Below are 11,396 nucleotides of genomic sequence, written 5' to 3'. Positions count from 1 at the left end.
GGAATAGGTGCTGCTATTGATTGGCTGGGGATACAATAATAAGAATGTGGAAAATGGTAGTCATGTGCTGAGTCTGGCTCTGTGTGTGGTGGGTGCAGAGGACCAGCTGAGTCATGAGTTACAAGTCTGGATGGGGTCAGTCTGAAAAACATCTCAAAACACCAATCTTAAGTTCTACAGTAGCAATGTTAACTATAGGACCAATTGGAGCAGTCACAAATCTTGTGACCTCTGGCCACATCACTTTGAAGCAGTAAGGGACAGTAAAAACTATACCTACATTTTAGCAGAATTCAGGCCCCTCTCTTATTTCTAATCCTGTAGTCTTTCATTAGCCTTACAAAGGTAGTTTCAGCCTCTGAACAAGGAGGTGATTAGTTTGGGGGAGGGACTATGATGGTCCTTGTTTCTAAGTTAAACTATAAACTAAATTCTCTTATGGTTAGCTTGGCCTATGCCCAGAAATGAGTGAAGACAGCCAGGCTGTGAGGCTAGAAGCAAGATGGTGTCAATCATGTTAGATTTCTCTCACTGTCATAATCTTTGCAAAGGTGGTTTCATATTTACAACAGTAGTCATCCAATTTTTGTTTATGTACTTTCTAATATAAAAAGCTAAAACATATCTATATATAAGCATGGATCATTTTACATGCTTCACTTTATTGTGCCTCATAGATGTCGCATTTTTTACAAATTGAAGGTTTGTAATAACCCTATGTTGAGCAAGTCTATCTGCGCCATCTTTTCAGCAGCATATGCTCATTTTGTTAGCATTTTTAAACAATAAAGTATTTTTAATGTATGTACATTTTTAGATATCATGCTACTGAACATTTAACAGACTATATTATAGTGTAAACATAACTTTTATGTGCACTGGGAAATTTTAAGTATGACTCTTTTTTTTGCAATATTCACTTTATTGTGGCAGTCTGGAACTGTACCCATATTATCTCCAAGGTACGCCTATATCTTCTCAAGAATATTCAGATTGATATTTAATTTTTTTATGATAAATTTACTTGTTGAGCATGTCTTTTGGGATATATATAGAGTATTATAAATATACTTAGTTTAAAGTAAATTGTTGTATCACATCTTTAAATATCCAAGAAAATCTAAACACATAATGTTTTGATACCTGACATCATGAATTTAAGAATACATGAACATGTTCTTTAACAGTCAGATATTTTACATCAGTACCTTTTTCCTCTAACTGAAAATTTTATTTTACCTCCATCAAAAAGTTTTGACCATGCACTGTATATTTATATTTAAAACTATTTTAATATTCACCATATCATAATTCTTTGCAATAAAAATGTACATAATTTAAATTTGATGTTTAAAAATAGTTGAAGTTGTTTTTATTTTCTAATATCATTCCCGTATGAAATATAATGGTAGAAAAACATTTTAATTACCAGAAGTTTTAGGTTTATTTTTCTCATCAAAAATCTAAATTTTGAGCTTCAGTATTTTCTATGCTGGTTTTATTTGTCAGATAAGTTAAAATTATTTCCAAAGATATTCAGTTTTATGTTAATTCATGTGTTTGTTCCTACTGGATTGTCGTCACTTCTAGGTGCTCCTAGCTTACAGAGCAAAAAAAATATGTCAGCATACTAAACTGTGCATATACAAAATCTATAAATATTTCTGTGTTTATCTGCATCTATATTAGGCTAAACTGACATCACACTGATGTCTTCAACTCTAATTCATGGTTCATTCAAGGCTTTTCCCCTTGTGTCTGTAACCTTCTACTCTAACTCTGAAAAACCTGGCTCACGCCATCTGTCATTCACTTCACTTACCTAACTGTTCAATTTCAGCACACATGTGTAGGGGCAGGGAGAACGCCTCACTTTCATTCTCTGTGAAGATTCACTGGAATGACTGACAACAGACAGATTAATAGGATAAAAGGCATATGAATTTATTAATGTGCATATGCGTGGGAGCCACATAAAATATGAAACTCAAAAGAAAGGTTGGACGGTCGGTATATACCATCTTCATAGGGGAGAAGGAGAAGGGGAAATGTAAGCAATTGTGAGGGGTAGTAAATAATTTCCAGGGGAAATGAATAACTCAAAAGAACAATGGACTAGGACAAAGTTCCTCTGTGCTTTGGGGGAGGTGATGGGAAGGTGAGTAGTGGAACTTCACTGTGAACAAATGTTGTCTCATCGTGCAGATAATGTCTCCCAGGTAATCTCTCAAAGCTGTCTTCAGAAGAATAGATGGAAAGTTTATCTGGATGTGATGACAACTGACTTTAGTCTCTTTTCTCCTGTGGTTAATCTTTCCTGGTTATTTGGTAAGAGTCCTAGAAAAGGAGTTTTAAGATAATTGCATTTTTTTCTGGAGGTACTTTCTGTAATCAGATGAGGGAACTTCAGATAAGAAAGGGGATGAGAAAAACAGGGAGACAGAGAGAGACCTTGGTTTTGAGGCTTATTTATAAGGACTTTCAGTTTTGTTTAATTTAAAGCACTCAACATGCCAAAAAACTATACTGTAGGGGCTTTTTTGTGCCCTAACACATGTATTAGGGCGGTGTTAATCCACACCGCCATGAGAAACTGATTCATTAAGTAGGGTAGAGTACATACTATACTTCTTTTTGCCTTTAGTCTAACAGATTTCACCTATTTCCAAAGTTACTTAGGTCAGCAACTCCCCCCTTCCCCGGAATTATTTCAGTGTGGTTGTTTCATATATTTAATAACTATAAGAGAGTTAGATTTTTCTGGTCACATTGTGCATTTCATCCTGTAATCCTATAATGTCTTAAATAATTTTTAAATTTTGTTTCCATTAAACTTCATCCTGTAATGCTGTAAATTCCATAGATTTTGGTAAGTGCATAGTGTTATGTGTGCACCATAACAATATGATAGAATGATTCCACCACCCTAAAAAATAAAATCCTCGAGCTTCACCTATTCAACACTTCACTTTCCCCAAAACCTTGACTACCATTGATTGACATACTCACTATAGTTTTGCCTTTTCCAGGATTCTATTTAAATACAATCATGTATTTTGTTAGCCTTTTAAGACAGGCTTCTTTCACTTAGCAATATGCATTTTGGATTCATTCGCATCTTCGTGCAGCTTGATAGTTCATTCCTCTTTAATTGCCAAATAATATTGCATTGTGTGGATGTATTGCAATTTGATCATCCATTTGTTTACTGAAGGACACCTTGGCAACTTCAAATTTTCTGTCTCTTTTCTTTTTACGCTAATTATTGCAAAATGATTCTTAGGTGTTTGGTTGAAAATTTGTCCCTTCTTCTATAGTAGCAGGCTAGGCTAGCTTCTATTTGAACTAATGGATCCATTTAACATCTCAAAAAATTAATATCCAATCTTATGTCCTCTTAAATAGCTAACTTAAAATAATTTACAGAGGGTCAATAAGATACAAAGAATATTACATTCTTAGAATCATACTCTATATTTTATAATAAACACATTTCTATAACAAAATATGACCAGTATAGTTATTTGCGTTTTAGGTACCCAATAATTTTGCAGACACATTTCCCAATTAAAAAAATTTACAAAAATGAAATCTATTTCAAAATCTAAACATATCATGATGTTTTAAAGTCATAAAGCCCTCCTCCCCTCGCCACACACACATGCAAAGGAAGAAGACAATAAACAGTTTATCTCAAGAAAGGAAACAGAAAAGGGAGAACAACAAATAATGAAGCAGACTACTTGATTTAATCTTCATCTGATTTCTAGTTAAGTTTTGACTTGTTAGTTCATCTCTGACCACAAAATTGCATCGATAGATATCGCTCATCAAGACATTATTTATGGTAGCCTGTGCTCCTCTTTTGAAAAACCAACATAATCCCAAAATTTATTTGCTCCACATGCTGTTCTGGAGCATTAACAAGCCTGTACATTGACAAAAATTTTCTTTTGACCCATATTTCTATCCATGTTCTTGACTTTTTTCAGCATTTGGATTTTCTGGACTTAAATTCTATTGTGAGAATGCACATCTTCCATTTTGCAATTTACGCCAGCAGACCCATGTTTCTATTAAAAAATGCTAACTTTTAGGCTCTAGCAGAGAAAAAATAAAACATGAGGAAAGGATGTAGGAAGAGAAAGAGATTCCTTTGGTATTTGCTTTCTGCCTTTCACTTCTTTTTTTTTTTTTTTTGAGGCGGAGTCTCACTCTGTCGCCCAGGCTGGAGTGCAGTGGCGGGATCTCGGCTCACTGCAAGCTCCGCCTCCCGGGTTCCCGCCATTCTCCTGCCTCAGCCTCCTGAGTAGCTGGGACTATAGGCGCCCGCCACCACGCCCGGCTAATTTTTTCTATTTTTTAGTAGAGATGGGGTTTCACCGTGTTAGCCAGGATGGTCTCCATCTGCTGACGTCGTGATCCACCCGTCTCGGCCTCCCAAAGTGCTGGGATTACAGGCGTGAGCCACCCCGCCAGGCCCTGCCTTTCACTTCTAATGCTACTTACAGAGACAGGAGGCAGCCAGGGGTCCCCAGTGAAACCCTGCCTTCAACCCTAAATAACAGCCTGAAGGCTGAAAAACCAGACTGTTGGTCCTGGATGAAGCCTGCCTTTTCCTGACTGATTCTTTCTGAATAATGCCTACCTGTGTACTGGGAGGATGGAGGGCGGCCTCAGGAACTTCATGCCATTTGCAGAGGGGAAGATCCTGGCCTCTCCTCTTCCTGTGTGGTGACCTGGGATTCAATCTGTGAGTCGGGAAGCCTGGTAGCAGGACTCTTTCATCTTGCTGAAAGGTGTTTTTTTGTTTGTTTGTTTGTTTTTTGTTTGTTTGTTTTGTTTTCCCTTTTCTCTTTTCCCCGAATAACTTTCATTTTCCTCACCCTTCTATGTGTCTACGAGCCTAATCCTTCCTGGTTGTGTGACAAGAGCTCAGTTTTAGCGGAACTAAGGAGAAAGTTCTGTAACACTACCTTCCACTGTGCTCCCACTGCCTATGTTGATTCAAATCTAAGTGGATCCCAATATTGACCACCTGCACCATGAATCCAGCAATCAGAAGCTGTGATCAAATTTATAGTTGTCCCTTCAAACCGATATTGCTGGGAAAGTTTATCTTGTTTCCACAAAATATTTTTTATGATCCTTAAGGTCATATCACTGTACTAGAATATTTGCTCGTGAAAAATTCATGATGCCCAAGGAAATCTGCCTGTAAGAAGCAGAGCTACATTAAGAACATAAAAGTATGAAAAAAGTCTGCTCTGGTCCGGAAAAAAAATGAGTTTTTCTTCCCACAAGAAAGAAGTTTGAATTCTGAATACTGAAAAACTCTAGCAAGGTAGGAACTGTGAAAAGTCTTAAAACCTTACACTAATTTTAGACTTCTTGCATATGTTTATTTTGCTTGCTGAGTGTTTATTAGGTAAATTAAATTACTTGGGTGTTAGGTAAATCTGAATTTACCTAATTCAGATTAGGTAAGTGCTGGTGTTAATTAGGTAAATCTGAATGGCAGAAAAACTTGATGTGTCTATTGTCCCTCAAAATGTTATCATTCCTTTGCAAAGGAAAGTCCAATCACCCGTGAGAGTGACCCAGAACAGAAGATCTAATGTTTACCTAAATGCCTAAATGGAACTGCCTAAGAGAATAGGTGATAGGGGCAACAACAGGATTTCCTTTAAACTTCTGGGAGTTTAAGTTTAAACAAGCCCGTAGGAGAGAAAAATATCCAGAAAGAAAGACAAGCTTCGAGAGAACTTTACTCAATCCATTAAAATCCTCCCGTTGGGATAGCTGCTAAGATGTGCTAGAATTTTATCAACTCAGATCCATATCTCTTTTGCATAGAATCACTGCTGCTAGCTCACCTCAGCCAAAAATTCCATGCTAAAAGCCAGGGACTTGTCATACTGCCTTAATATTATGATGAAGTTTTATTTTATAGTTTCCTAATTCTGAATATATTCCCCCCTTAAGCCTATGACTCATACTTGTCAGTAATTTAAGAAATGCATTCCCTCATCTTGAATGCATATTTTTGAGGGAAAGGAAATTTAACATTCCCCATTGGATCTGCTTGTTCTTTACACTGTAAATGATGGGGTTCATCACCGGGGGTGCCAGCAGGTAGATATTGGCCATGATAACATGGACCAGTGGAGAGGCATGCTTGGCAAAGCGATGAGTCATAGATACACCAACCATGGGAATGTAGAGGACCAGGACAGCTAGAATGTGGGACAGGCAGTTATTGAGGGCACGGAGTCGCTCAGCCCAGGTGGCTGTGCCCAAGATATTTTTCAGAATAAGTGTATAGGAGATCACAATGAGCAGAGGATCCACGATAATAATGAGCAAGGCAAGAGCAAATCCATACCAGCTGTTGAGCCTGATGTCAGCACAGACCAGGCGGATCATATCCTGGTGGAGGCAATAGGAGCGAGAGAGAAGGTGGGAGTGGCAGAAAGGCAGTCGCTTGAGTAAGAAAAGGGAGGGAAGAACCGCCAGAACACAGCAGCAAATGATGGCTAACCCAGTTCTACCAATGACTTCATTGGTGAGGATGGAGGCATAATGGAGGGGACAGCAGATGGCCACATAGCAGTCAACGGACATAGCCAGGAGGACAGAAGACTCCATAAAGGAGAATCCATGAAGGAAGAAAAACTGAGCAAAACAGGCCTCAGAGCTGATTCTACGAACGTTGAACCAGAGAAGCTGCATGACTGTGGGTAGGGTGGTGAGGGTGAGACCCAGGTCCGTCAGGGCCAGCATGGAGAGAAACAGATACATGCGCTGGTGGACAGATGGCTCTGTGCGAATGACAGTGAGGATGGTGGTATTGCCCATGATGGAGATGGTGTAGAGACAGCAGACGGGGATGGAGATCCAGATGTGGGAGGCCTCAAATCCAGGGATGTCCGTGAGGATGAAGTAGATGCCTTCTTGTGTGGTGTTAGTCACCTGGGACATGACTGATGAATGTGTCTTCAGATTCAGGATCTTCACTCAGGGAGAAAAAGAAACATTAGAAATAATATCTCTTTGCCCCATTTAATCCAAATTCTACACAAATAAATGTTCAGAGTTGTTGAGGGTAACTAAAGCAAGATTTAAGAACATTGTGATATATGATATCCTTTCCTTAGCCCAATTCTGCAGACTGCTCCCACACAGCTAATCTTCCCTTGATGACGGAATATATATTAATTCATGGGTAACTCTAATTTTTCCTGCCCCCATTTTCCCACTCCCATTCAGTTTTCAGCACATTTAAATCAGCCTTTCATACAAATCTCACTATCAATACTGTTCTCACAAAGGCTAAAAATGAACTCTATTGTATAAATGTGATGCTTAATATTCAATCTTTATCTTTTTTTGATATAAATCCAGTGTCTTTTTCCAAATATCTCCTTTGACTTTTGTAGCAGCATTCTCACCTATTTCACTAGTTCTAAACCTATTGCTACTTTTTCTTCATCTCCTAATTTTTTCATTCATTAAGGTTTTATTACTGTACTGCAGTCTATTTCTACTCTGTCCTATTCTCATTAGCTAATGTCTTCTGATATTGATTTTATTTCTATGACATAAAAAATAACTGGAAATAAGGGAGGAAACATAGGAAAGAAGAGAAAGAGAGGAAATAGTCAGAAGTCTGTTTAACAGCCCAGGTGAAGACAATCACATTTATTGAGTACTATCTACATTTAGGCACTGCTTTAAGTGGATAACTCGTATTAATTCTTATGTTCTAACAAGTCATGTGCCCTTTTCTTTTTCCTGATGATTCACAGAGGAGTCTTACCTGTGGTTTCTCCTGCCTTGGAGGTACCCTCGTCACCATCTGTGGCTTCTGTTTTCTCAGCTTAGCTCAGAGAGCAGGTGCGGTATAAGCCCCTTGCAGATCTCTAGTCTGGAGGGTGGAAGGTGTGGCAGGTCGCTTCAGGATTACACGGAGGCATCGCATCTTGGGACCTGGGTCCCACAGGGAGCCCAGTAAATCAACTCTGGTGGTGACAGCCTTTGCTGCCCCTGGTGTCCTCACAGAGCAATAAGTTAGAAAGCCATATTGAATCACAGTTTCATTAGCTTGTTGAATGTGATTTGAAACTGCATGCTTAAGCTTGAACTGTACAATCTCTCAAAAATTAGTTCTAAAAGACTTCCTTCTATAAGTACTCCGAAGCTGGGATAGAGTTTACAGGGGCAAGAGAGCTGTAGTTGAAAGAAATATTGTGCATCAATTTCAAGGGGCATTCATCTTAACCTGAGCCTCTGGAAACACTAAGAAAAAAGAAATGTTTATATATATGTACAAGAAATAAGGAAATGAAGACAGAAATCAAAACTGAATTAGAAAAAAAATTATTCAATAGTTAGCTATTTGGTGGTTCATCTCTCAATTCCCACAAAACTAATTTCAAAATGAATTAAGTAACTAAATGAAAATCAGTGACAAAAAATAAAATAGAGAAAATAATATAAGCATTTAAATCTTTCCTTTGTGAAGACTTTGTAAATAGCAGCAATAGACAAGAATCACAGAGAAAGACAAGTAGATATAATCTTTAAAAGTGAAATTTTCTCTGTAGCAAAAAATGGTAAAATTTAAACATTTCAAAAATATTTATAAAAATATGGAAGAGATTACTATCTTAAATATCAAAAATTAAATATATCAATATTTATCAAGAAAAATACAATAGATTAAGAAAAACTATATGACAAAGTTAACAGTAAAAGAAATACAACTACAAAGAAGCATAAAACAATGTTCAACTGCATCCAAAAATGCAATAATGGAAAGTTAAATCGTATAATTGGTGTTTTAAACTTTCAAAATAACAGAGAAATTTTTATGACAACATGCTATGCAAATAAGGAAATGGCAGTGTAGAAACATTCATACTTTCTTAAGTGTAATTTGTATGTTAATTTCTGGAAAATGATTCGATCATAGATGCCACTTTAATTCAGTAAATTTACTTCTGGTAGTAAATGATAAAATAATTTTAAATAAGGATAAAACCTTTTAATGAAAATAGACTTTTATGTAATAACAAAAGAGTAGAAAGAGATAAATGGTTCAAATATTAAAAGGCCTATATATCTATCACCTATCATAACTAAAATAAATATGCAACATTTGTTTTCAAAAGATTATAATTAGAGCTTATGTTTCTATTAAGCACATTGAAATGTAAATAGAAACATAAGCTCTAATTATAATCTTTATATATGTGCTTACATTCTATTGTAATCATATTACAATAGAAATGTGCTTACCTGTGCTGGAACTATGGTAGTTGCTATAAAAATAATTTCAGTTAGTGCTAATAATGACCCTTGGAAAAAGGAGCTATTATCATGCCCATTGTATATAAACTGGGATTTAAAGAGGTTATGTCCCTTGCCAAGGTTTCAGATTTTGAAAAAGAGACAGGAAAAGTATTTGAAGTATCATCGTTTCTCGATGTGAGAGGTTGTTTCCAGGAGCTCTCCTGGATAGCAACATCTGTAGATGTTCATGTTCCATACCTAAAATGGTAGTGTTTGCATGTAGCCTATGCACATACTCCTTTATGCTTAAATAATTTTGAAATCACTCATCATGACTGATACAATATAAATGCTGTGTAAATAATTGATATTCTATATTGTTTAGGGAATAATGACAGGGGAAAATAATCTGTGCATGTTCAGTGTAGATGGAAGTTTTTTTTCCAATACTTTTGACCCAAGATTGGTTGAATCCATGAATGTGGAACCCACAAATACGGAGGACCAACTGTAGTTCTGTTGAATTCCAAAGCCAAAGTACATTACCACTATGTTCTTAAAAGCACTTCTTTTCTCTAGGTGTGCCTGATAACTCCTTATTACCTGAGATGCTAAAGACATTTTCATTCCTGGATATAGATATAAATTGGGCACTATGAGTAAAGCATTAGCTTGTCATCATGATTTTGGGATGTCTGTGACACACAAGTGTGCCCCCAAAAGTCTCATTATGGCAAACATAGAGAAGATAAGAAATCTTACATCATTTCAAAGATAAAGGGGAATATTTTAGACAATTTGAAGGAGAGTGAAGATATATCAAAAGTAAGTCCTCAGATGTCATACTAGGATATAGAATTCATATACCTGCACATGACTCAAAAAATGAGCACATGCCTCAAGAAATAATCAGAAACTGCCCTATTACCGATATCAAGAAACACTCACCAAAGTATACTGTGGTGTCTCAGGAACTTCTAGTGAGACCAGATGATGCTTTTTTTTTTTTTATAATACTTCAAGTTCTGGGGTACATGTGCAGAATGTGCAGCTTTGTTACATAGGTATACACGTGCCATGATGGTTTGCTGCATCTATCAACCCGTCACCTACATTAGGTATTTCTCCTAATGCTATCCCTCCCCTAACCCCCCATCCCCCGATAGGCTCGGGTGTGTGATGCTCCCCTCGCTGTGTCCATGTATTCTCATTGTTCAACTACCAATTATGAATGAGAACATGTGGTGTTTGGTTTTCTGTCCTTGCGATATTTTGCTGAGAATGATGGTTTCCAGCTTCATGCATGTCCCTGCAAGAGACATGAACTCATCCTTTTCATGGCGGCGTAGTATTCCATGGTGTATATGTGCCACATTTTCTTAATCCAGTCGATCACTGATGGACATTTGGATTGGTTCGGTGCTTTTTTTGTTTGTTTGTTTTGTTTTTCTTTTTGTTTTGTTTTGTTTTGTTTTTATTATTATTATACTTTAAGTTTTAGGGTACATGTGCACAATGTGCAGGTTAGTTACATATGTATACATGTGACATGCTGGTGCGCTGCACCCACTAACTCGTCATCTAGCATTAGGTATATCTCCCAATGCTATCCCTACCCCCTCCCCGCACCCCACAACAGTCCCCAGAGTGTGATGTTCCCCTTCCTGTGTCCATGTGTTCTCATTGTTTAATTCCCACCTATGAGTGAGAATATGCGGTGTTTGGTTTTTTGTTCTTGCAATAGTTTACTGAGAATGAGGATTTCCAACTTCATCCATGTCCCTACAAAGGACATGAACTCATCATTTTTTATGGCTGCATAGTATTCCATGGTGTATATGTGCCACATTTTCTTAGTCTATCATTATTGGACATTTGGGTTGGTTCCAAGTTTGCTATTGTGAGTAGTGCCGCAATAAACATACGTGTGCATGTGTCTTTATAGCAGCATGATTTATAGTCCTTTGGGTATATACCCAGTAATGGGATGGCTGGGTCAAATGGTATTTCTAGTTCTAGATCCCTGAGGAATCGCCACAATGGTTGAACTAGTTTACAATCCAACCAACAGTGTAAAAGTGTTCCTATTTCTCCACATCCTC

The 11,396-nt window shown here is 37.2% G+C and overlaps 2 protein-coding genes across 3 annotated transcripts in view; one reads left to right on the top strand and one right to left on the bottom strand.

Annotated features, from left to right (window-relative positions):
• OR51B5 (olfactory receptor family 51 subfamily B member 5) overlaps positions 1-11,396 on the top strand; it is a 165,335-nt gene that overhangs the window by 76,471 nt on the left and 77,468 nt on the right. The window lies entirely within an intron of this gene.
• OR51Q1 (olfactory receptor family 51 subfamily Q member 1) lies at positions 5,976-7,071 on the bottom strand. Its single transcript, NM_001004757.2, has one exon. The coding sequence runs from the start codon at positions 6,979-6,981 to the stop codon at positions 6,028-6,030; it is 954 nt and encodes a 317-aa protein (NP_001004757.1). The 5' UTR covers positions 6,982-7,071; the 3' UTR covers positions 5,976-6,027.

Source organism: Homo sapiens, chromosome 11 (assembly GCF_000001405.40).
Source record: "Homo sapiens chromosome 11, GRCh38.p14 Primary Assembly".
Classification (NCBI taxonomy): Eukaryota; Metazoa; Chordata; class Mammalia; order Primates; family Hominidae; genus Homo; species Homo sapiens.
The sequence above is the reverse complement of the archived record's forward strand: the minus strand, read 5'-3'. Positions and strand labels throughout refer to the sequence as shown.